Source organism: Homo sapiens, chromosome 19 (assembly GCF_000001405.40).
Source record: "Homo sapiens chromosome 19, GRCh38.p14 Primary Assembly".
NCBI lineage: Eukaryota > Metazoa > Chordata > Mammalia > Primates > Hominidae > Homo > Homo sapiens.
Genome location: NC_000019.10, coordinates 15,252,790 through 15,277,950, shown reverse-complemented (window position 1 = coordinate 15,277,950; position 25,161 = coordinate 15,252,790). Strand labels below are relative to the sequence as shown.

The 25,161-nt window shown below is 52.5% G+C and overlaps 1 protein-coding gene across 11 annotated transcripts in view, besides 4 other annotated features; it reads left to right on the top strand.

Annotated features, from left to right (window-relative positions):
- Positions 1–25,161, top strand: part of BRD4 (bromodomain containing 4) — a 97,021-nt gene that overhangs the window by 54,589 nt on the left and 17,271 nt on the right. For 7 of the 11 annotated variants that reach the window (XR_007066712.1, NM_001379291.1, XM_047438540.1 and 4 more), the window contains exons 2-11: positions 4,818–5,136; positions 8,909–9,046; positions 10,400–10,535; positions 12,308–12,597; positions 13,185–13,547; positions 14,403–14,531; positions 20,778–20,987; positions 21,688–21,887; positions 22,359–22,654; positions 23,689–23,799. Coding sequence is in view for 10 of the 11 variants with exons in the window: in NM_001379291.1 (NP_001366220.1) it covers positions 4,852–5,136; positions 8,909–9,046; positions 10,400–10,535; positions 12,308–12,597; positions 13,185–13,547; positions 14,403–14,531; positions 20,778–20,987; positions 21,688–21,887; positions 22,359–22,654; positions 23,689–23,799 (2,158 nt within the window). In the remaining variant the exon portion in view is untranslated. Of the gene's footprint in view, positions 1–467; positions 2,295–4,817; positions 5,137–8,908; positions 9,047–9,710; positions 9,794–10,399; positions 10,536–12,307; positions 12,598–13,184; positions 13,548–14,402; positions 14,532–20,777; positions 20,988–21,687; positions 21,888–22,358; positions 22,655–23,688; positions 23,800–24,167; positions 24,960–25,161 lie in introns of those variants that run through there. The other 4 variants (NM_001330384.2, XM_047438542.1, XM_047438544.1 and 1 more) reach the window with 3 other exon arrangements.
- Positions 2,976–3,475: an enhancer, noted in NCBI's record as "H3K27ac hESC enhancer chr19:15385287-15385786 (GRCh37/hg19 assembly coordinates)". NCBI's record gives its function as "activates a minimal SCP1, AML or CMV promoter by ChIP-STARR-seq in primed H9 embryonic stem cells {active_cell/tissue: H9 hESC(primed)}" and the evidence as "EXISTENCE:reporter gene assay evidence [ECO:0000049][PMID:30033119]".
- Positions 12,082–12,582: an enhancer, noted in NCBI's record as "H3K4me1 hESC enhancer chr19:15376180-15376680 (GRCh37/hg19 assembly coordinates)". NCBI's record gives its function as "activates a minimal SCP1, AML or CMV promoter by ChIP-STARR-seq in primed H9 embryonic stem cells {active_cell/tissue: H9 hESC(primed)}" and the evidence as "EXISTENCE:reporter gene assay evidence [ECO:0000049][PMID:30033119]".
- Positions 13,754–14,253: an enhancer, noted in NCBI's record as "H3K27ac hESC enhancer chr19:15374509-15375008 (GRCh37/hg19 assembly coordinates)". NCBI's record gives its function as "activates a minimal SCP1, AML or CMV promoter by ChIP-STARR-seq in primed H9 embryonic stem cells {active_cell/tissue: H9 hESC(primed)}" and the evidence as "EXISTENCE:reporter gene assay evidence [ECO:0000049][PMID:30033119]".
- Positions 15,268–15,446: a silencer, noted in NCBI's record as "fragment chr19:15373316-15373494 (GRCh37/hg19 assembly coordinates)". NCBI's record gives its function as "represses an EF-1alpha promoter that drives an FKBP-Casp9 reporter gene in an ReSE screen in K562 erythroleukemia cells {active_cell/tissue: K562}" and the evidence as "EXISTENCE:reporter gene assay evidence [ECO:0000049][PMID:32094911]".

Below are 25,161 nucleotides of genomic sequence, written 5' to 3'. Positions count from 1 at the left end.
GTATTTTTAGTAGAGATGGGGTTTCACTGTGTTAGCCAGGATGGTCTCGGTCTCCTGACCTCGTGATCCGCCTGCCTCGGCCTCCCAAAGTGCTGGGATTACAGGTGTTCATGTTGATTTTTATATGACCTTTGCTTTTTGTTTTGTTTTGTTTTGTTTTGGAGACGGAGTCTTGCTGTGTTGCCCAGGCTGGAGTATAGTGGCGCCATCTCTGCTCACTGCAACCTCCACCTCCTGGGTTTAAGTAATTCTCCTGCCTCAGCCTCCTGAGTAGCTGGGACCACAGGTGTACACCACCATGCCTGGGTACTTTTTTTTTTTTTTTTTTTTTGGTAGAGATAGGGTTGCACTGTGTTGGCCAGGCTGGTCTCAAATTCCAGACTTAAGGTGATCCACCTGCCATGGCCTCCCAAAGTGCTGGGATTACAGGCGTGAGCCACTGTGCCTGGACAATCTTTGTTTTATTACAGCAACTTGCTGATCAAGTGTTGCAGGCTGTGACACTGTTGAATATAGTGCAATCTGGTGTTGAAATGATCAATTGCCTTGTGCTGATAGTTCCTGCAATGCCATCTGAGTTTACCATGACATCCCCAAGGCACCTGGGCACTCAGTTTGGGAACTACAGCATTGTCTAACCTTGCTTCATCCTTTTCTTCTACACTGGGAACATGATATAGGGTTTCTGTTGGAAGTAGATACAAAAGTAGGACATCAAGTTCGATTATGTAGCCGCCTTTGGATTGGAAACAATAAGCGAAATTCTTTTCCTTTTCCTTGACCTTCAGCTAACTCTTAACGTGGTGAATGGTGGCTCCTGCTTTTTGGCCACAGGTCAGTATGAAAATGGAGAGGGAGCAGCAGTTTTTAATCTTTTCAACGGAAAACTTTGAAGATGTTGTCTCCTGTTATCTATGCCAGGCATGCCTTCTCTTGCCACTGCCTGCCTGACCCCCACCACAGAAGCGCACACACTCTTCCCCCGCCTCTGGTCTCATTCTCTGTCCCTTCTTCAGAGATGCCGCCTGTCCCTCGGGTCAGTGCAGATCCCTCTCCCCGTCCATGGCCAGAGCAGCCCTGCCCTTCTCCTCCACAGTATTCACCCCATGTATTGCCTAATCACTCGGGAGAATGCCATGTCAACCGCTGAGTCCTAGGGCAAGGCATGTTAGGACCTGTTGCCTGAGCGAGTGACTGAGTCTGGTGGTCTCCACATTATCCATGTGAGAGTGTGAACTGTTTTGCTTTTCCAGAGCTTTGAGATTGAGCTGGAAGCCCCAGGATGACAATGTGGGTATGGTCACTAAGGGTTCACCTCCTGTGTGCTGGGAAGATAAAAGTGAAATAAAGATGAGCCTGCCTTCAGGTTCCTAGGGGGCTGACCATGGAACTCAGTAGATGGAGATGAGGGAAGCACCAGATGCTATGGGCCAGAGAGAGAGAGAGAGAGAGTCTGTGAGCCTATGTCTGCATCCATCCATCTGTCTGGCAGTAGGGCTAGCAGATCAAAGGCTGAAGGTGACAGGGTTGGCTGACTTGTTGTTAGAGCCTAGATGCTAGGGGCCTGGGGCAGTGTGGGGTTGGGGGGAACCGCTGTGGGAAGAATTCGCCCAAGGAGGCTGACCTCATATCAAATCTGGGCCTTAGAAAAGTCATCTGGGTCTCACATAGGACTTCTCACTGTACCTCTCTTTCTTGCCCCATAACAGACTAGAAGTGGTTGGTTTTCCTCATGTTTCTTGTCATTGCAGTAAGAGTGGGCTCTTGAAGTTTCCCAAGGGTCTTACTTTCCTGTAGTCATGGGAAGGCTGTGGGCATAGCAGTAGGTCAGTGTGGTCCCTTGAGGTGCAGGTGCTGCACAGGCCCAGAGTGGGTGCAGGAGTCCCAGGTATCTTATGGTGATCTCCCTTGTGGGGCCATGGATATCACTTTCTTTTCTTTTCTTTTTCTTTTTTTGAGATGGAGTTTTACTCTTGTTGCCCAGGCTGGAGTACAGTGGCACAATCATGGCTCACTGCAGTTTCCGCCTCCCAGGTTCAAGGCAGTTCTCCGGCCTCGGCCTCCCGAGTAGCTGGCCACCATGCCCGGCTAATTTTTTGTCTTTTTAGTAGAGATGGGGTTCCATCATGTTGTCCAGGCTCATCTCCAATTCCTGACCTCAAGTGACCCACCCTTCTTGGCCTCCCGAAGTGCTGGGATTACAGACGTGAGCCACCGTGCCCGGCCAGATGTCACTTTCATTGGTTATCTTCAGAGCCTCCTTAAAGAAACTTTGGGGTACTGGTAGCTACCAGGTTTGTCTTATGTGTCGAACATGTCATACCTTCACATTTGAACAGACAACCTCCAGCAGTTTCTTTCCTCAGGGGCCTGGGTGTGTGTGTGTTAAGGATGGCCACTGTGTCACGACCATCTGTGTTGGACACTTCTGATGTGTGTGTGTGCAGCTCACTAATGAGGACTTCCTTAATTCAAAGGCCAACTTAACTGCCCAGGAATCAGATGCCAGGTTTTGGGCCACTCTATCTGCTTAGACCTGGTGTTTCCACTCCTGGGTCAGGTACTTCTCTCTGCCTTGGTTTCCCTATCTGTAAAGTGGGGATGAGGCCAGAAGCAATGTTAGCATTTTTGAGGATTTAACTGTTACTGTGCATCACTTGTGAGCTGGCTGGCTAGGGAGGGGTGTTTTGGCTTTTGCAATGGCTTAAAACACCAAATGAGGCAAGGTTCAAGAGTCAGGTTTTCTGTAGAAAACTGTTTTTTTCCTCTTGTGAACAGAAAATTCAGCTTCTGTCCGGGCATGGTGGCTCACGCCTGTAACCCCAGCAATTTGGGAGGCCGAGGCAGGTGGATCACCTGAGGTCAGGAGTTTGAGACCAGCCTGGCCAACATGGTGAAACCCCATCTCCACTAAAAATACAAATATTAGCCAGCCATGGTGGCACACGCCTGTAATCCTAGCTACTGGGGAGGCTGAGGTGGGAGAATCACTTGACCCTGGAAGGCAGAGGTTGCAGTGAGCCAAGATTGCACCACTGCACTGCCTGGGCGACAGACCCTGTCTCCAAAAAAAAAAAAAAAGGAAAATTCAGCTTCCTCGGCTCAAGGGCCTATCTAGGCCTGGTGAGAAGGTGAAGAAGAGTGGTCACTGGCCTAGAGCACACATGAGTTTTTGTCCCTTGGCTTTGCTGCAAGTCTTTTTGGAAAGAGACAAGCATGGCCCAGCCCAGAAGTTCTAGAAGTCCTTGGCCTCATCTTGCCTCAAGGGCATTGCTTAGAGATTTCCAGAATGTCATTACTTAATGGAAAATTTATAGGGTCTGCTTCCTTTTGGGACAGCTTGGCTCTGCACCCTGGCCGCCTGTGTCCTTGTGGCTGGGCTGCTCCTGCCCCTGCCTGCCATCACTTACCTGGCGTGTGCTTGGTGCGCAGCATCAGCTATATGTTTCTGGAGCTGCTTTCTAGGAGAAATCTAATCATAGAAACCAAACTGAATGGCATTCCTTGGCCTCACTCTTTGTACCCTCCATCTTGGGATCCAGGCTTCCACAGTGCCTTTAGGCCTCCCCTCCCCTTGACCCCATCACACTTGTCCCCATTGGTCACTTTGGACTTGCTGGTCCTGCTGCATGGAAGCCCTCTCCAGCCTACTCCACATGTGAGTGGGGTTTAAACCCCACTGACTTGTTTCCTTGTCTGTGATGCTGTCCTTCTACCAATACTTGTGTCCAGTCACTTGGTGTGTCCTGTAATCTATCTGTGTCTGGACCAAGACTGGTACACTGGACCCAAGGTTCCCAGCAAGCTGATATGTGGCTTGTGTCATTTGTCCCTGTGTCTTCTCCTATCTCACTGGCCTCCTATCTCCACAGCCTAGTCCATGGAGTTGCTTTATGTAGCAAATTCTCCGTTTGGAGCTTTTAAAATAGGATTATTTGCCAGAACTGCATTTACAAAAAAAGTTTGTGTAATCCTGGTTTAAATAAATTACACAAAGTAATTCACTGGCAGCTAGGGTGCCTAGTGTGTGCTAGGCATAAAGCTGCTTCTGAACCCACTAAAAGTTCATCCCAGAATGATATCTCCACTGAGTTCTTAGGTTTATTACTAGAGATGAAAAAAAAAAAAAAAAAAGAAAATGGTAGGTCTAGTATGGATTCATTTTTATTTTATCGGCAGTAAACATGCAGATTCTTTCCTCAGCAGACCTGCATTATTTAAGTTACCAAGAAAATATTCTTAGTAGGTTTGTGGCTTTGCCCTGAGCACTTGGCAGTGGACTGGGTGGGCCATCCATGGGTGGGCAGACCCAGCCTTCCTGCTTCTCCTTGCCTGGCCCACCAAATGAAATGATTGACTTTGCTCGATGCTTTGTGTGTGATAAATGCAAGGAGTTTTAATGTAAATGTCATATGTGGGAGCCTGCACATCATCCCCTTCCACACACAGGCAGCATCTCCTAAAAACTCACAGGTGGGAAAAGGGATGTGCAGGTTTGTGAGACGTGGCTTCATTGTACATCCTTCCCCATGACCTTCATAGTTCCCAGAGCCTTTGCTGGCTCCTAGTGGGCTCTCACCACCTCACTCTGCCTCCTCTGTTGGTTTGTGGTCTCCTCCCTGCTGGAGGGTAAGTCTTTGGGGAGAGGAGACATTGGAACCCTTTCAGTCAAAGCATGGGGTGGTCCCTCTGGCCAACTTGGCTAGCTACCGCCAGGGAACTCAGTCCTTGGAGACCACAGCCAGAGGGACTTGTCATTCTGAGCGGTGCCCATCTGCTGACTGATATCTCACGGGGGCTCTTCTCTTCCTTTGTAGAGTGCCTGGTGAAGAATGTGATGGGATCACTAGCATGTCTGCGGAGAGCGGCCCTGGGACGAGATTGAGAAATCTGCCAGTAATGGGGGATGGACTAGAAACTTCCCAAATGTCTACAACACAGGCCCAGGCCCAACCCCAGCCAGCCAACGCAGCCAGCACCAACCCCCCGCCCCCAGAGACCTCCAACCCTAACAAGCCCAAGAGGCAGACCAACCAACTGCAATACCTGCTCAGAGTGGTGCTCAAGACACTATGGAAACACCAGTTTGCATGGCCTTTCCAGCAGCCTGTGGATGCCGTCAAGCTGAACCTCCCTGTGAGTAGTGTGGGCAGGGCCCAGGGTGGCCGTCCTGGAGGTCGTCTCCTGCATGTCTCCTGGTCAGGGCAGTTCCTGGGGGGAGGGTAGGAGATGCATTTGGAATCATGGTGAGAGCTGCAGGGCCCTTGAGTGAGTGGTTTCAGCAGTTCTGATCAGTTGAAATCAGGGAGAAAGAATGAGCTAATTGGCTTAACAATAACTGGTTTCTTAGATATTGGAATCCTGGGGAAAATTGTGTAGAGGTTGAAGCAGTGGGAGAAAGGAAGGCCCACAGATCTACTTCCAGTTCCATGGTGAGTTGAAGTCAGAGCACTTGGCCATCCTAGCCCCTTCATTTCTCAGGTGTGGACATAGTTGATCAAGGATAAGTAGACGTAGTTGATCAAACTATGCTAGAGGGGAATTGGCTTGCTGCAGTAGTGGTCACCTAGCATCATCGTCACTGTCACCCGGAGCACACGGTGGGGAAAGATAGTGGGATTACCTCGCAGGGAGTGCAAGTACATGGAGGCGTCCCCAGTTGGAGAAAGGTGGCTGTGGCTGCAGCTGCACAGGTGGTGTTGCCCTCCCTCCCTCTGGCTACAGCACACTTGCTCTTGTGCTTTTGTGAGCCCGCCCCTCTTCTCTTTCCCTGGAGAGTTTTCCATATGCCCATGTCCCTAGCAAACTGTTCTGCAAGCAAACCTGTATCTCCAGCTGAACCTCAGGGAGCAGATGGAATAAATGCTTCAGTTTTTTTTTCTTTAAAGCACCAAAGACTAATTGTCTTTAAATTGTCCTTTGCTGTTTGCCAAGTCCTGTACACCCCCTGGCAAGTGCATTAGGTGGTTGCAGCCACTGACCCAGACTGGTGTGTGCACACCAGAGCCACTGGTGTGTGCACACCAGAGCCACTGGTGTGTAGGAGCGGCCTTAGCCTCTGCCAGGCATCCTTACTCCCAAGTTTAAAGTCATTGTGTCTGTAAGAACTGTCTGGTGCTATTGCTTCACTGAATACGTGTCAAGCACTCGGGGGAAGATAATCAGAACAGGGCAGTACGTGTCTGGGTCTTGAAATGGCTCAGGAAAGGTATGGAGGCAGAAGAGGCGCCACGCTCTCCATTGACCAAGATGAGGAGTGGAGGCAGTCAGCTGTGTTGGCCTGCGGGAGGGAGACTGTTGGGGGAGCTCACTGCACCAATCTCTAGCTGGGCTGGACAGGGTCCATAGTTGAGAGTGAAATTCTCAGAGCAGATGCACAGAACCAGGAGAGAAGGAACTGGGGACTGGAGTGGAACCCAGAGCGTTGTGAGGCCCTTAGGGGTTGGAGGGAAGGCAGAAGGCCTACAGAAGAGAGCATTTCCCCAGATTCCAACATCAGAAGCTACAGGGAGGTCAAAGAGATGAGGATTCCGACCTGATCATCCTGTTGACCTTTAGGAGGGCATTGGTGACCTTAGGAAGACGTGACACAGAAGTAGAAACCAGATTGCGACGGTGTGAATGAGAAGGTGAGGATGTGAAGCCACCATTTCAAGAAGCTTGGCTTTGAAGGGAAACGCATCAGTGCCAGAATAGCAGAGGGGTCAGCTTGTTACAAGAAAACGCAGTGGGAACTGAAGCAGGGAGGGCTGAGAAGGTGAAGACAGGAGAAGGAAGGGCTGGGGGACTTGAGATTGCCGAGAAGCAGCAGCATCCCAGTTGAGGTTGAGGGAACAGTGCTGGCCAGCGGGACAGACAAGTATGGGTGATTGGTTAGGCCATGGGGTTTGGGAGTTCAAGGTCAGTCTCTGAAGTGCAGGCTGGAGAGTGGCCAGGACGTTCTTGGTCCAGGCAGAGTGTGAATCTACCTGTCCCTATGACTGTTGACGTCGCCCTCATTAGCTCTGACATAAGAAGAAGGGACTGATCCATGGTGGCCCTGATCTGATGTCTTCAGAGATGGGAGAGTGAGGAGCTGAGGAAGGAGCTTGCTGAGTGAGAGTGGTCTCAGGGCATTTGGTGGGGGCTGAGCCAAAGGGGATGCTTGATCAGGAGCATCATCATGCTAAATCTGTATTCTGGGGACTTCCTTCTTCAGGAGATGTTAATAAGGCCACCCTAAAAAGTATTCCTTGTCTGTTTTCTGATGCCTTCTAGGTCTTCACCCGCATTTTGATCTCCTATCATGGCCCCAAACCGTACTATCCAGGCTGGCAGTTCCTCTTCCCCCACCGTTCTCTCTGCCTTCACCCCAATTCCTCTTCACTATTCTGTTGGCCATTGAGACATGTGACACACTGTGGCCAATTCAGTGGCCTTTGGCCATAGAATAAAATTTAAATTTCCACTGGGATAGATCTATTCAGACTTGGTTCTCTTGGGAAAGGAGGTCAGAGCATAGAAAGTGGCACCGATAGTCTGCTTCCAGTCTCCCCTCTTGACCACTTGCCTAAGGTGCCTGGGTGTGCACTTGTAGCCCTCACCCCCAGGGCAGTTCCATGAGCTGTGCCAAAACCTTACATGTAAGCAGGTGGCCCTTGACTCTTTCTCGTGGATGTCAGAACATCTCAAAAACCCCACACCCATACCCTGTGCTGGCCTTTCCAACGCTGTCCACTACCATCCCGAGCAGGGCCTCAGTGCTTGCTGTTAGTATACCTGCTCTCTTCTCCCTGCAACAGCCTCTCCACCTGCAGCCTGTGCCTCTACCGTGGGACTCCACTTGGATTTGGTTCTGATACACCACTTGAACTTAATTACAGGAGCACCTGTCCTCAGTCAGAGTGATGACTCAGAAAGTTTGGCTATCGGTGGGTCAGGCCAACAGCCTGAGCTGGTCTAGTCATTGGGGACTTGCTGTCTGGGTGCAGCCCCCTGCCTGGCCCTCTGTGATCCTCACACCTGGAAACCCAGGCACTGCTTGATCTGTCCGCACATTCCTTCTGTGGTTGTTTTTAAAAATGAACTTAGTTTTAGAATAGGTTTAGATTTAGAGAAGAAGTTGTGAGAATAACGTGGTTTGATTTCGGGCACTTTAAGACGTTTACATCTGTTATCTGGCTCCTTCTGTTTGGCACTTAGTAAGATCTGAAAGTTTGAGGGTTGGGATGGTGGATTTTTTATTTTTATTTTTTTAAACTAAGGATTGTGAAGGCTGTCCAGATTTGTCATTTGGCAGTTAACCTGGTCAGTCAGCAGTATCTGGATACTAAAGAATCCTTAGTGGTAGACTGTGTGCAAATGAAAGAAACGTTAAGTCCAGTGAATTTGACTAGGGGTGGAAACTTATGCTCCGCAGCTCTTCATGGTGACAAGGAGGCAGGAGTGCCAGGGTCAAGGGTTACAAGTGGACTCCAGCATTGGCGCCAGGGGAATTTGCATTTTATGGACATGTAAAATTTCAAATGGGACAAGTAGGACCTGCCATGGGTTGTCTTACTAGGTGAGGATTGCTTTTTAAAAGGCTGCCTGGTTTCCCCCTTATTTATTAAAAGTGAAAGAATATTTTAGTATCCATAAAAAGAAAAAATGTGCATTTCAATGAAGGCAGCCTATTTCAAGATAGAGTGGTTGGAAACTTGTACGTTTCCCTCTGAATTACTCCCCAGCATCCAGGAACCCTTCCCCGCTCCACTTTATTTTGGTGTTCCCCCTCAAGATCACTTGCTGATGCCAGTAGGAGCTGTGGCTCCCGTGGATTTACCTGTGGAGCAGCCAGGGGTGAGGTCCCCAGGCCAGCCTGGCCAGCCCAGCGTTTGTGCTGCCTGGCTGCCTAGGTGACACTGGACTTTTGCTCTCTGCTCTCCAGGATTACTATAAGATCATTAAAACGCCTATGGATATGGGAACAATAAAGAAGCGCTTGGAAAACAACTATTACTGGAATGCTCAGGAATGTATCCAGGACTTCAACACTATGTTTACAAATTGTTACATCTACAACAAGGTGAGATGTAGGGGTGGGTGTCCAGCTGCCCTGGGGAGAGAGGAGGGGAGGCGACGGCAGTGGGCATGTCAGGAGCCCGTGGGCAGGGGTGTTGGGTGTGGCTGGGCTTGGAGTCTGGCAAGAGGAGACCCTTGGAGGTAGAGGTAATGAGACCTGTGGTTGTTCCTGTGACTGGGTGTGGGCTTTTTTGCTGGGAGGAGGGTGCTGGCCATGTTGAACTTGCAAGCTGTCCTTGTTAGCCTGAAGCATGTGCTTCTGGTGCCCTTGGGATTTTGGTTCCTGAGCATGTCTAGTAGAGAAGGTGTGAGGAGAATAGTGGCGACTCATGACAAAGTCCATTTGGGTGATGTAAATTGTTAGGAAAGAGCCTGCTAAAATGTAGTTGTGCAGAGGTGTGCCCAAACAGAGACCTCCACGTGAGAGAGGGTGTGATGGGGCCGGCGCAGAGCTCAGTTGCTCTGTGGGTGATGGTCTGCTGGAACTGTGGACATGACTGTCAATAACTCTTGGCCATAGATGAAGTGTCCCCCCGATCCTACATGTAGACCTGAAGGTCACTTCCTAACCCCGTAGCCAAACCTTTCGGCTCGGCTGTGCCATGAAGCCAGATCATTTGTTTACAGTTCAGACCACAGATGTGATTAAAATCAACCCTTTCAAATAGAACGACTCTGGAGGGAGACACTATACAGAACTCAGCTTTTGACCTCTGCTGGTGTAGTGGGTAAAAATGCCCAGAAGAGATGGGTAGGTGAGTTTCTTGAAGTTTACTGTGTTTTTTAAAGTCTCAGCTCTCACCACTTAGGTTTGAGCAAAATGTGCAGACCAGGCTCTCAGTTTAGAACTGAGTGGGAACAGCATGTTATAGATGAGGTGACAGAGTGGGACCCCTCAACTAGTGTGAGATGTGCAGTGCCCAGAGTCCTGGTGAGCTGCCATGGGGGTACGTTGGGGAGCATTGCTGGGGCCCTGCTAATGTATCATGGCAAGAAATCCTGTGTCATTCACGTATTTCTGGTGAAATTGAATTGTGTCAAAGGAGGGCCCCTTTCAGTGATTGGCTGAGCTTGGTAGATGCTTAAGGCATTAGGATGGCTTCTCAGATAGGCCAGAGCTTAAAAGATGAGGGAGGTGCAGGTAGACAAGTGTAGGCTCAGCACACCTGTGGGAACACAAGCCTCTGTGATACCTGGTAGTGTAGCCATTGTGGCTCCTTTGGGTGCAGATCGGGGAAGGACCCGGAATACGACGCTTCATGTTTTGGGGGCAGGGGGTGGGTGGCATGGGGTGCCCTGTCTACAGAGGTGGGGAGGGGAGGGCCCTCTGACTCTACCCCTGTGTCTCCTTATCCAGCCTGGAGATGACATAGTCTTAATGGCAGAAGCTCTGGAAAAGCTCTTCTTGCAAAAAATAAATGAGCTACCCACAGAAGAAACCGAGATCATGATAGTCCAGGCAAAAGGAAGAGGACGTGGGAGGAAAGAAACAGGTAGAGTACTGAAATAGCAAGTAAATTGGCTTTCTCCCCGACCTTTGTCCCTTTTCCAAGTTTGGTGGGGGGCTGGGAGTGGCAGGAGGATGTGACATTATATACTGCATGCCGTGTTGGTGTTTGGACATGTGAGATTGGGTTTGGTGTTGGATCCATCCCATAGGGTCATGTGGCCCTGTGGCCTCTTCTAAGCAGAAATAATTGGGCCCTGCCTTTTCTGAGGGTAGGTGATGGACTTAGGGTAAAAGGAAAGTGTAACTTCTCAAAGCACTTTGACGTTTGTTGAACACTTCACCCTGCCAGTATCATAGGTGGTTTTTACTTTTCCATTTTAAGGACATTAACATGACCAGAAATCATTTTAACTAACATCTCAGTTCTAAACTTTGAGGTTTGTGATTGGAATTACCTTAATGCACTGGTGTCAGAGTTATCCCTGCTTCTGATGCTCAGTCATCTGAAGTGAAAGCCCTCCTCATCCATCTCTGCCTGTCACCACCCCCAACTGACACAGGGTTCCAGGGGCCAGCTGGCAGAGCTGCCCACTCTAGGAAATGATTCTGTCTAGGAAACTCTCCAGCAGCTACTGGCTACATCTTGTCCTTTGCAACTCCATGCTGCAGAAGGGTGACATTTGCGAGGTGGTCCCTGAGTGTGAGTTGTTTGCTTCTCTGAGCAGCAGCCTTTCACCTGGCCTCCCATGCTGTTCTGAAGTGGTGGCAGAAAGGGGGTTGCTACATCCCCTGCTGCACCCAAAGGTAACCAAGGAGAACTAGTCTCACGTGTCACCCTGTGGCTCTTGTACCTATCAGATCACATTCCTGATCCTCATGTAAGTCACATCCCTTATCCTTACATGAGGATATTGGTCCTCACTCCCTGGGACCAGGGGTTTGGGCTGCACGCTGGGCAGACAGACGTGGTGGCATCTCCTATTCCAGTCTGGGAGAAGCCCAGGAGTTGTGCCTGAGGAAGGAGAATTGGGAAACTCAGCAGAATCTCACCCTTGCTCCTTGAGATGCACAGGGAACATGGGTGCTGCTTGAGCTGATAGATGAAGGCACTGGGTGTCTTTGTCCATTTTCATGGCAGCCAGCATGCACACGAAGGATGTGGTGACCCAGGTTATGCTCCTAGACATTCTCACCCTGGTCCACCCAGTTTTGTTAGAGCTCTGGCCATAACCCCTCACTTTTTGCAGCTGGTTGGGTGTGCCACGTGACCATTGTGTGTTCGGACTGCCTGCACAGCTGCTGGGAGGCAGCGCTCGAGCCAGTCATGAAGGGCAGCAGTCCAGCTGCCCCCTGTGGTTCCAGGAGGTGGGGGCCTGCCAGTTTCCAGAAACCTTGGCAAGGGCGGCTACTGCCGGCTCCCTGCCAGAAGCTCTTACTCAGAAGGCAGTGCTTCTGGGAACAAGGGCAGCTGTGCCTGGAAGCTCTGAGGAGTGTTTTCCCGCTCTCTGTCCCCTGTCAGCATGTGCTTCCTGCTCCTTGAGCCTGGGCCTCCAGGCTTCATGAAGGGGTCTTTGTGCCTGAGTTGGGAGTTGCAGCCAGGACGCCCTAGGAAATGGGAAGTGCGGTTTTCTGCTGTTCTTTGAGCCCCAGGGACAGGTGGAAGGGTTTGGCAGAGTGGAGTCTGGGATGTTCGTCTCTCAGGCAAATGCAACACGCGAATGTGCGTTCACTGTGTGTGGTGTATGTCCCCACGAGGTCAGCCAGCATGTGGATGTCAGCATGGTCTCTAACTCGCCGTCTTATTATGATTTGTAGGGACAGCAAAACCTGGCGTTTCCACGGTACCAAACACAACTCAAGCATCGACTCCTCCGCAGACCCAGACCCCTCAGCCGAATCCTCCTCCTGTGCAGGCCACGCCTCACCCCTTCCCTGCCGTCACCCCGGACCTCATCGTCCAGACCCCTGTCATGACAGTGGTGCCTCCCCAGCCACTGCAGACGCCCCCGCCAGTGCCCCCCCAGCCACAACCCCCACCCGCTCCAGCTCCCCAGCCCGTACAGAGCCACCCACCCATCATCGCGGCCACCCCACAGCCTGTGAAGGTGAGTCTCCTGGACTCTGGAGGGCTGCTTCACCAGGGAGGAGAGCGGCCCTGTCCTTGCCCGTGCTTTACACAGAGCCTGTCCTGGGTCCCGGGCACTGGTGGGTGTTTCTGGGGAGATCTTGCTGTGTTGAAATTGCAGCCCAGAAACAGCCGCCCCACTGACTCAAAGGTCCCATAATTGTGTCACACCTCCTAGTGGGTTCCTGCCCCCTGCACCTCTTTTATTTAGACTGTGCATATTTGCAGATGGGCCATCTAAATAGTCTCTGAATTGTGCCTCCCCTGGGCACTTGGGGAGAGGCCCTGGTGTTAGGTACTAAGCAGCCTCCAGAGGTCCCTTGGCTTCCAAGTGAGCACACAGTTTTATGCTTTCTCCTGCCACAGGCAGGTCCTGTCCCAGCTGCAGAGCAGAGTGGTGGGACACGATCTGCCTGTCCTTGGCCCTTTGCCTGTGCAATTATCTTTGGGTCCATTCTGTGTGAGCGATGGGCCCCAAGACAGGGCCTGGCTTTGGGGGTGACCCTGAGGGCAGCTGTGCCGGCTGCCACTTCTGACTGTGCCTGTTGGCGTCCGTGTTCTTGGCAGACAAAGAAGGGAGTGAAGAGGAAAGCAGACACCACCACCCCCACCACCATTGACCCCATTCACGAGCCACCCTCGCTGCCCCCGGAGCCCAAGACCACCAAGCTGGGCCAGCGGCGGGAGAGCAGCCGGCCTGTGAAACCTCCAAAGAAGGACGTGCCCGACTCTCAGCAGCACCCAGCACCAGAGAAGAGCAGCAAGGTCTCGGAGCAGCTCAAGTGCTGCAGCGGCATCCTCAAGGAGATGTTTGCCAAGAAGCACGCCGCCTACGCCTGGCCCTTCTACAAGCCTGTGGACGTGGAGGCACTGGGCCTACACGACTACTGTGACATCATCAAGCACCCCATGGACATGAGCACAATCAAGGTTAGCGGGATGTGCCTGAGGGAAGGGACAAGGTGGGCAGGCTGTCCCTCCACATCAGAACCTTCCTAGACCTTTTAGTCCAAGAGGAAGCCCAGGCCCTGGAACGGTGGCTGCGTGGATTTTTCCCGCCAACTCGAAGAAACTCAGCGCCCCCTGCTGTCTGCTGTGGGACGTGCTCTGAGACCTGGTGCTTGGCCATTGTGGCTACAGATGCCTGTGCTGCCCCTTCCCCTAGTCTGAGGAAAAGCAAGACAAGCCCTCTGGCCTTGGGGGCCCAGTGCCCCAGGTACCTTGCCCACACAGTAGATGCTCCATGGGAGTTGGGGCTTGGCGGCCTTGCCAGCCTCTTTGTGGTGGAGAAGGCCTTGCTGTCTCCTCTGTGTTGGAGGCACGCTGTAAGTGCCGACATTTTCACCATAGTGTTTTGAGGCTTTTTTAGTTTTAAGACTTGTTACGTGTTTCTTCTTCTGGGAGTGGAGTCCCAAGCATGGGGCAGGCAGAGCAGGGAACAGTGCTGTGTCCCTTTGACCAGCTCCTGTACTGTGTCATCACGATGAGCTGGGCCCAGCCCTCTCCATCAGTTCTCCCCGTCATTTCTGGCTCAGGCTCCGCCTCCTGTGGGTTCTGAGTCCACCTGCCTGCGAGCCAGGCAGGTGAGCTGGGATGTTGGCAGGGCCAGTCCCAGCCCTGAGGCTGAGAACTGGGGTGATGGCCTGTCCCCCCACTAGAGTCTTGACCAAACTGAGAGCCAAGAAACCAACTTGCTCTTCTAGGCATCCCTTTCGTCTGCTGCCAGCCACTTCTCCATGGTCACATGGGCAGACACAGCTAACAGGGACTTGTCTTGTTTTCCAGTCTAAACTGGAGGCCCGTGAGTACCGTGATGCTCAGGAGTTTGGTGCTGACGTCCGATTGATGTTCTCCAACTGCTATAAGTACAACCCTCCTGACCATGAGGTGGTGGCCATGGCCCGCAAGCTCCAGGTGAGGCTTGGGAGGGCGCAGCCACCCTCAGCAGAGCAGGCTGAGGTCCTCGTGGGAGCAGACTTCTGTGGGCCTTGGCAGAGTTTTTTTTTCTGTCACTTTCCTTGGGATAATGCCATGTTGCTTTAGAAAAGTGCCTAAAGTCAGCCTAGTGCATACATTTTAAGTTGGGGTTATTCAATTAAAGCAGAGTGGGTGTTCCACTGCAAGCCCCCTCCACCAGCACTCATTTGCTTTTGGCTGGAAGACCGGGTGTGTGCTGTGCATGGCCCAGTCTCTTCTACAAAACACACCTGTCTCAAGTGGGTTGGGGGTGGGGGGCACTCTTGCCGAGAAGTCGCTGTCACAGTCGTGAGCTGAGGACATCTGCACTGTGGACATCCCTCCACCAGAGCCGTAAGAGCCTTCTAGCTGCAGAGTGGTTGTTTCCACATGGCCACAATTCTGATTGGGGGTCCTGGGTCACTTCCTTCAAGTTGAGAGCCTGGGTGGTGCACAGTGTGAAGTACACGTGTGGGCGGGGAGGGGAGGTTACAGCATAGATGTGTAAACTTAATTTTTTTAAAAAAGGAAAAATACCTAAGTTTAAAAAATGACTTTCTTTGAATAATAAGATTGGGTTAAAAATTTTGGAGAATAAAGTCAATATTTAGTACTATCATCATCATCTTTTCTATTTTTTTTGTTTTAATTATTGGAGACAGGGTCTCGTTCTGTCACCCAGGCTGGAGTGTAGTGGCACAGTCATAGCTCACGGCAGCCTCTGCCTTCCAGGTTCAAGCGATCCTCCCACCTCAGCCTCCCGAGTATCTAGGACTACAGGCTTGCACCACCATGCCCAGCTAATTTTGCCTCGTTTATTTTCTTTTTTTTTTTCTTTTTTTTTTTTTTTTTTAAAGAGATGGGTTTTGCCATGTTGCACAGGCTGGTCTGGAACCCCTGGGCTTAAGTGATCCACCTGCCTCGGACTCTCAGAGTGCTGGGATTAGAGACTCATCTTCTTTTTTAAATTCTTTAAGACTGTAGATAAATGATCATAAAAATTCCCAGCATCTTCTCCCCAAGGCCATGGGTTGCTTCTGTTCTCAGGGTCAGAGCCATCATGAGGTGCTGATGTGCTCATTGTAGGCCTCAGCGGGCTTCTGCACACCTGGCTGTCGCAGCCATCTGCTTCCAGGGCAGAAGTGAGGACTTGGAAAGCCTTTGGTGACCTGTGGATCGGTGCCAGGCAGAGCCCCACTGCCTGCCTGCCTCCCAGCTGCACTAGTTCTCATGTTGTCCTAGACTCCCCAGCATAGCAGCCCGTACCTGCTCCCACTGGACCTAAGGCACTGTCTCTCCTATTCTCTGTGGATCAGGGGCTGCCTTGGGTTCAGAGGACATGTGCTCAAACTCTTGAGGTAGGATAAACACTTCCCTTGTGAAGTTTGTTGGTCTCTTTCTTACTAGTGTGGATGTGGCTCTTGTTATTTAAATGCATGCTCAGGCTTGGAGCTTTTTATTTCTACTTTTTTTTATTTATTTATTTTTGGAAACGGGGTGTCATTCTGCTTACTGTAGCCTCAACCTGCTGTGCTCAATTGAGCCTCTCAGGTAGGACAGCAAGCGTGTGCCACCATGCCTGGCTAATTTTTGTATTTTGGTAGAGATGGCATGTCACTGTATTGCCCAGGCTGGTCTCAAACTCCTGGGCTTAGGTGATCCACCTGCTTCAGCCTCCCATACTACCAGGATTACAGGCATGAGCCACGGCACCTGGCCTGTTTCTTAGTTTTATTTTCTGTGACTTGGGGAATTGTTGCCCTCTCTTCACTTTGGTGTTGTCTGTGTGCCTTCTTCACAAACAACATTGCCCCTTCATCATTCATGTTTGCATTTCCCATCCTTGAAGGAGTTCAGGCTTTTTAATTTCTTTCTTTCTTTCTTTCTTTTTTTTTTGAGATGGAGTCTCTTTCTGTCGCCCAGGCTGGAGTGCAGTGGCACGACCTCAGCTCACTGCAACCTCCGCCTCCTGGTTCAAGCAGTTCTCCTGCCTCAGCCTCCTGAGTAGCTGGGATTACAGGCGCACGCCACCACGCCCAGCTAATTTTTGTTTTTTAGTAGAGAGGGGGTTTTGCCGATTGGTCAGGCTGGTCTTGAACTTCTGACCTCATGATCTGCCTGCCTGGGCCTCCCAAAGTGCTGGAATTACAGGCGTGAGCCACCGTGCCCGGCCAGACTTTTTAATTTCAATGCAGTTTTTGTTCAGGGCCACCCGGTGGCAGTGGCGCCCTCAGATTGGTGCCTTCAACTCCTCCACCGCTCCCTCTCTCCCACTCTCTTGAGAAGACAGGGGCGCAGCTTTTGCCCACACTGCTCACATTGATACCCATGCCCTTCATCTACTCTCATAGGAAGAACTCAGCAGAAACAAATTCTCTTCCAGCACCAAAGGTGACTGTTTTGAGCTACTTTACTAAGAGAAAGAAAAGAAAAAGCACCCTCTGATGTGTTCTAGCCCTTCCTTCCTCATTTTTGTCTCATTTTTTCTGTCCTCTCCTGACACCCTGGAGCCACCTCCTTTTCGCAGATTTTCTCCAACAAAGATTTTTGGGTTTTAAGTGGTTTTTTTTTTTTTTTTTGCATTTTTCTCCTTCTGAGAGGGGAGTAAGCCTGCCTGAATGTAGAGTTTACCAAGGCCACTGGATGTCTGTCACACCACAGACACTGCAGCAGTAGAGTTTCTTCCTACACACGGGCTCCAGGTGCCGGACTGGAGTGGACACAGGCCTCAATCTCAAGGGGGCCTAGTGCAGGCAAGGGGTGGGGGGTGCTGTAGGTGGGCTGCCTCTGGCCCAGCCTGTTTCGCCTGCCCTTGGGAGGGACACCTCTCTGCCAGTGCTTGGTAGAGGTGTTTCTGTTTGAGCAACAGAGTTGATGGTGGAGGGTTCCAGAGCAGGCTTCTCTTCAGTGGGCAGTTGTGTTTGTGGCATTTCAGGCTTTGTTTTTCTTACTTCTCTCTACTTTCTCTGCATCAGCAGGTAGAGAGCAAATTCTCCATCAGGGAAGGGGAGGGACAAAGCTTCCAGCCCTTGCTCACTTCTTCAGGAGCTATTGGGACCTGCTTAATTGGGTCTCTTAATTTGGCTGGGCCCAAGAAGTGGGATTATCTGGAAAGTTACTTGGAAAAGGAGCCACTTTATTTTTCTCTCTGAGCCTCTAAATTCTCGGGTCATTGAGAAAACCTGTGTTCCACAGCCTGACAGCTGAGATACTTGTCTGAAACCAGTGAGGTGTGCTGAAACTGAGAAGCATGACCTCAGACCCAGACCTCCAGAGGAGTGAGGTGTAGGTCTGTGGGATGCCGGGCAGGGGGCTGGGCCTCAGCTGGGTCTCAAGAGACTGTCAGCCCAACAGAATGCCTGCACTCGGTGTTCCCTGGCGGGTGCTGGTGCCTGCTACCCCTCACCATCACCATCCTCCCTTGTGAGAGGCTTGCCTCGGTGCATCTTGAATTGGGCTTTACTGTCCTCTTGCTGGCCCCATAGCACCCCTGACTGTGTTCTTTTCACTCTTAGGTCTCAGCACACTTCCAGTTCATGGCAACCCCTTGCTGCCCATGTGTTCATTCACCTTTCTGTTTCCAGCTAGACTGAGCTCCTTGAACAGGGAGCTCGTCATTCCTGTCTACCATCAAGCTGGTACTTGGAGACTTGTGACTGTTGAAGCCACACAGCAAGGTTTTCCTACAGCAGCCCTGGGCCCACTGGCTTGTGGGTTTCCCAGGATGCCCCCCACTCAGGCTACAACAAGAGTTCTCACATCCAAGAGACAGGGAAGGATGACAGGGTCACACAACTGGACACGCCAGGAAGCTGGCAGTTCCCAGTCCCACCAATGTTAGTTTCTCATCTTAGCTGACTTTGTGTCTTGTATTTTTTGCTCTTTGTTGTTGGGGCCTTTGGAGAGCCAGGGCCATGAGCACCCAGGGAATGGAAGGAGGCCTCAGAGTGAATGCCACACACCCCCACCCCAGCATTTACCCAACAGTCATCACCTGGTGGGGAGGAACAAGGACATCCTCAAGTCTTGAAGCTGGCCCAGGCTTACAGACCAGTTCGCTGAGGTAGCTACCACTCAGTAGAGGGCACTCCCTTTGTCCTGGGAGGCATAGCTGATTATCTCCCTTCATGATGTCCTGGCACTTCTGAGGCCCACTTCTCTAACCTGCTTCCTGCTGCTTGGCAGCAGGCCTGGCTCTTCCAGAAGCTCATGTGGCCCCAGCTGCCTCTTGGAGTCATTTTGGGACCTGAGCCCACCCACATCCAGGGCACTACCCACCTGCCACGTAGCCGGGTGCTGCAGGGCTAGGGATCTGTCTTACTCTCTCACTGGGGCCTCCACTCTGATGTGAAGCCCCCCACCTTTTCCTCCCTGGGCCCCACTCCTGGGAGGCTAACTGGTGATGGCCTCTGGTCGTCCCTTGTTGTGTATCTTCTTCCTTGTCTCAGACCTGCTCAAGGAGTTATTTCTGAATAAAGGTATTTGCTGGGTGCAGTGGCTCATGCCTGTAATCCTGGCACTTTTCATTGTAGACCACCTTGTGGGAGGATCCCTTGATCCCAGGAGTTGGAGACCAGCCTGGGCAACATGTCAAAACCCTGTCTGCACAAAAATTTAGCTGGGCATGGTGGTCTCAGTTCTCAAGGAGGCTGAGGCAGGAGGATCTCTTGAGCCTAGGAGGATGAGGCTGTAGTGAGCCATGATTGAGCCATTGATTGCATTCCACCCTGGGCAACAGAGCAAGGCCCTATCTCCAAAAAGAAGAAGAAGAAGAAAGAAAGAAAAAAGTTATTGGGCCAGGCGCAGTGGCTCACGCTGGTCATCCCAACCCTTTGGGAGGCTGTGGCAAGTGGATCTGTTGAGGTCAGGAGTTTAAGACCAGCCTGGCCAACATGGTAGAACGCTGCCTCTGCTAAAAATACAAAAATTAGTTGGGCATGGTGGTGTGCACCTGTAATTCCAGCTACTTGGGAGACAGAGGTTACAGTGAGCTGAGATTGCGCCACTGCACTCCAGCCTGGGTGAAGACTGTCTCCAAAAAAAAAGTTATTGGCTAAAAGAAGTCATACTCCGGGTGTCCTGGAGGGGAGGGAATCAACACCACAGTTATATGGGATGCCTGCTCCAGCAGCGTGGGAGAGGAAGCCTCAAGGAGTGTTTCCTGAGCCATCAGGAGGGGATTCCAGGGCCGTGGTCCTCTCTGAAGCACTGACACACATTTGGGGGAAGGTCTTTGCCATGGTGTGTTTCCACGATGATCAGTTTATTCCTGGTTTGAAGCGGGTCCCAGAATCCTGCTGGGAAGCCAGGCCTGTGCTTCTGCCTCTGTCTTGAGCCATCACTGGATTGAGCACAGCGCCCCCGGGGTAGGGCAGGGACTTGACAGCTGGCTGGCAGTATGTGTGGCCAGACCCCAGTGTCCATGCATGGCTGCTGTTCCCTGAGCTCCATGACCCCACGTGGTTCCATCTGATTGCTGGATCTTAGGGTTGAAAGGTCTTAGGGTCTCCTGCGCACAGTGGCTCCCTCCTGTAGCCTGTCCTCAGTGCCCCACACCTGCTGCCTAAACCTCTCTTACCTTGTCCTGTGTGTGCTGGAGATGCCTCCTCCAGTGGTGCAGCCCTGCTTGGTTAAGTGCTGCAGGGGCTATCTGAGGAATGAGGAGACCGACTTAGAACCGTGTCTGCTACAGCAGAGCCTAGTCCCCTAGAGGAGGTGCGCTTGTGGCAGGTACATTCCCACCGGGGACCTCTGCGTGTGCTGTGTCCTCTGCCTGGAATGCCCTCTCAAACCACAGACAACTCCTGCTCCCCCGCACGCATCTGGTGGGAGCCTCGGCTAACTGTTTTGGGGTTTGAGGATGCCCTTGGTCCAGTACCATCTCAGACTTCAGTGAGCTGGCTGTCTTAGTGGCCTGGGTCTCATGTCCTTGCCTGGGCGGTGTCCTCCAGGGAGTGAGTGCCCCGCTATCTCTGGACCACCTTGTTCTTCAAAGTGAGATTTGAGAGAAGAGTGTTGCAAGAGTTGTCAGAGGCCCTTGGCTGGCCCTTGCCCCTGTCTCGGCAGCAAAGAGACAGGATCACCATCCTCTTTCGCCCTCGGTTGCTTTCTGTTGAGTTGGCCCCAGCAGCCAATGAGGGCAGGTGATGCTAGGCCGCGGCCTGGGTACCCAGCAGCCGTCACAGCATGTCTTTCCCTCACCAGGATGTGTTCGAAATGCGCTTTGCCAAGATGCCGGACGAGCCTGAGGAGCCAGTGGTGGCCGTGTCCTCCCCGGCAGTGCCCCCTCCCACCAAGGTTGTGGCCCCGCCCTCATCCAGCGACAGCAGCAGCGATAGCTCCTCGGACAGTGACAGTTCGACTGATGACTCTGAGGAGGAGCGAGCCCAGCGGCTGGCTGAGCTCCAGGAGCAGGTGAGGGCATTGGTGGCTCCATTCTTAATCCCCAGAGTCCGTGGACCAGGGTGGCCTCCCCAGAAGTTTCTAAGAGATGTTCTTGGTTCTGAGTTCCCAAGGGAGCATAATTCCCACTGGACCACCTGTGGCCTTTTCCCCTTTGCTAGGTCAAATGCATGTTGATCATACACGTATGTATGATATATGTGTTGAGCTTGCGGTTGGGGATGGGGAGGGACATGGCCATTTTCTGGGCAGAGAGGAGGTGGCTTGATCCTTTCAGTATCTGGAAGGAGGAGGTTGAGCCAGGATGTTCGTCTCTCCTGGGGCTACCTGTTTGCTCCTCTCCCTATAGCCAGTCATCAGGCCCTTCGTGCCTGACGTGTCCGTGTGCTCTTACTTAGATTCTTAGGGGCCCTCCTTCTGCGATCAGGATGGCCGTGAGACTTGGTGTCTGTCGGCTTGATCAGCTCCTCTGGTGAGGAAGACACTGGCAGTCTTTGGAGTTGAGTGAATGGGTGGAGATAGTCTTGTTAGGAATCTGGTTAACATGACAGGCGCAAAGCTGGGGGCCTTCCCTTCCCCTGCCTCCCCTATGCCCACACCCTGATGCCCCAGGTGCATGCTGTCGCATGTTTTTTGGAGCAGACGCCTGGGTCTTGGGTGACAGGAAGGTGGTTTCAGCCCTGAGTGTGTGTCTTGCCTGTCTGGTCTACAGCTCAAAGCCGTGCACGAGCAGCTTGCAGCCCTCTCTCAGCCCCAGCAGAACAAACCAAAGAAAAAGGAGAAAGACAAGAAGGAAAAGAAAAAAGAAAAGCACAAAAGGAAAGAGGAAGTGGAAGAGAATAAAAAAAGCAAAGCCAAGGAACCTCCTCCTAAAAAGACGAAGAAAAATAATAGCAGCAACAGCAATGTGAGGTCTGTGTCCCCTGAATTTGTCCTGGGTGGGGACCCTCCTTCCAGGGCTTGCTCTGAGACTGTGTGGGCCACTGCCCCTCCCTGTCCTCATTGGGTGCGGAGGCTGCCCCTCTGCAGCCGTGGCTTCACAGGCCAGGCTGGTGGCCACTTGCACACAGGACTTAGCTGCACTGTCTCTGCCTCTTTCTGTAGGATGAGCCTTCGGAGCTCACCATGTTTGGTTGGGGAGGATAGGCGGCAAGGATGGGGCTGTAGTGCATCCCCCACTTGGGCAGCCTCCAGTCACAGTTTGCTTCGGTCTCCACTGGGTGCTCCCAGAGATTGAGTTGCCCATGCCCCGTTTCCTGTGAAGGCTGGTGGGTGGGGGGTATGGGAAGGGCACCCCTTCCCCCCAACATACATGTGGAGGAATGAGTGCCTGGCTTCCTCAGGGGGCCCGTTCTTGATGGTGTCTGCATCGTCCCTTCGTAGCAAGAAGGAGCCAGCGCCCATGAAGAGCAAGCCCCCTCCCACGTATGAGTCGGAGGAAGAGGACAAGTGCAAGCCTATGTCCTATGAGGAGAAGCGGCAGCTCAGCTTGGACATCAACAAGCTCCCCGGCGAGAAGCTGGGCCGCGTGGTGCACATCATCCAGTCACGGGAGCCCTCCCTGAAGAATTCCAACCCCGACGAGATTGAAATCGACTTTGAGACCCTGAAGCCGTCCACACTGCGTGAGCTGGAGCGCTATGTCACCTCCTGTTTGCGGAAGAAAAGGAAACCTCAAGGTGTGCTTGGGCCCCCTGGGCATGGGGTTCCTTCTGTGGGCACCCTCAGAGTAACTTTTCCCTCCTTGCTCAGTCCACTCTTTCTGCGCCCCCCCCCTTTTTTTTTTCCAATTATAATATCTGTGTTCTTGACACAGAAACCTCCGAAAGGTTGTGACATTGCACTCACCCCTAGGCTGTCAGTGCCTTTCTACATATCTGACTGGTGGTGTCTGGGGCCTCTCTGCACCTTGTTGCCTGCAGCTGTGTTCTAAGCCGGAGCTGCTTTCAACCCAGGCTACCTGCTGCTGAGTCTTCCTCCGGCCTCTTTGGGGAAGGAGGAAAGGCGGGTCTGCAGGGTCCCAGGACCTGTGTACCGATACGTTATGCAGCACTGAGCCAGCCTCTGTCCCTCTCTAGCAGGGACAGTTCGGTGTGGCATCCTTTCTGGACTCTTCCAGGCAGCTCTTTTGTGTCACACAGCTCATCCTGGCCTACGGCTTTCCTCTGAGGATCGGTGTCAGGGCATTGCACACAGTCTTTGTCCCCAGCCCTGACTAGCTCCTGGGGTCCTTGGGCCCCTACCTGGGGCACACCACATGATGATTCCAGCGTGCGTCTGAACAGCTGTGCTGAGAGACCCCCGGGGGTCTCTCCCTGCCTTGCGTTACCTTTTGGCAGCATGTTCCTTTTGGATCTTCTTCTTCCCCTGCTAGAAGAGTAACTGGGAGAATCCAAGCCTTATGCCCAGCGGTACCTTGTGTTAGGAAATTATCCTTCTGCCTGGTCTCTTGAATCCTTGATAAACCCCCCAAAGGAGACTTTTTGAGAGATTGAAGGAACCTTGAAATTCCATTGTAAGCAGTCTACCCATGGGAACTGTGGGACCACGTGGGTTCTGGGAGTGGCAGCTGGCAGTTGGGAGCAGCCCCTGGGCCCACCGTGCACAGGCTCCTCACTGGTCCTTCCTCCAGATGGATGGGGTGTGCCCATGGCTTAGAGCGGCTTCCTGGGCCACAGCCCTGCCTGACCAGCTCCCATTGCTTGGATTGCAGCTGAGAAAGTTGATGTGATTGCCGGCTCCTCCAAGATGAAGGGCTTCTCGTCCTCAGAGTCGGAGAGCTCCAGTGAGTCCAGCTCCTCTGACAGCGAAGACTCCGAAACAGGTTAGGTGACTTGTGTTCTACGTGTCTTACCAAACTCTTCCCACCTGTGCCTGGCACTAGCTCGGTCCTGTGTCCAGGATGCTAGAGCCCAGAGACGGCACTCCCAGAACTTGCTGGGTTCCTCTGTCTGTCTGTCTCTTTGTTAACTGTCTCCCTGGGGCCATGAATAGCCCTGCACTCTGTGCAGTAGTGTCCATTCTCTCGGCCTGGCCGTTATGCTCTCCCTGCCAGGGTCTGGTCATGGAGGATGAATGGCCAAGGGCGTTGACACTGCGGAGCCCTGGATGGTGGGCGGGGAAGCTGGGCCATGAGGACTGTGGGCGTGGGGGTCCAGGCTGTGCTGTTGACCTTGATGTGACCACACCCAGCTTTCTGCACCAGTGGAGACTTCGTGTCCCCAGGGCCTTCCCCGTATCACAGTCACGTGCAGTGCGGCCGCTTCAGGGAGATGCTTCGCTGGTTTCTGGTGGATGTGGAGCAGACTGCAGCTGGCCAGCCGCATCGCCAGTCTGCTGCTGGCCCTGCCATCACCTGGGCCCCAGCCATTGCCTACCCCTCCCCAGAGTGTGCTCGTTGCTGTGTTGGCTGCTCCTGAATCTGCCCTAACTCCACACGCACCTGGACTTGCGTGTCCCTCCTGCAGTTCTAACTAACAGTCCCTTCTTTTCAAGCCCCGTGGGTCTGCACGTTGGACCCTGGGTTCCCCATTAGAGCCCACCTTCTGAGCAGCAGCCTCAGTGGGAGGTGGAGGCAGGTAGTGATGCTGGGTGCCAGGTGGGAGTGGAGAGGGGACTGCTCTCCTCCAAGTGTGCACTTTCCTCATTATTCTCAGGGGCGCAGATGCTCAGGCTGGCGCAGGGGAGAGGCTAGGGAGGGAGCCATGGTGCCCAGAAGGCCTGGCGACCAGCCCCTGCTGAGAGATGGAGCTAACATCCTGTGTTTACGGCCAACGGGGTTGCCGCTAGGCTGGTGCAGCTGTCAGTGAGCTGGCGTGCTGCAGACCACCTGAGAGCTGGCCCTAGGGTCTCAGGCAGACTGGGGAGTGGGGATCCACAGTGGGAAACCTGTGTTTTGGCAGTAGACTCCTGCATGTTCTCCCACGGGCCTGTCCCATCCCTGGGATTTTATTCTAACTAGAAATAAATGCTAACCCTCAATAATCAGTGCATGTAAATAACTTGATCGTGCCAAGGAAGATTGAGGACCCTTCACGGCAGCTGGGGAGAGCCATGTTGCTCTGAGGTGTGTGTGCACAGATGGGGTGGGGGTAGGTGGCACCTCGGGCCTTGTCAGTATTCCTCTTCCCTTGGACAGCCTGGTGCCCTCTGCTTCCCAGGTGAGTGAGGAGACTTGCCTTGAAGT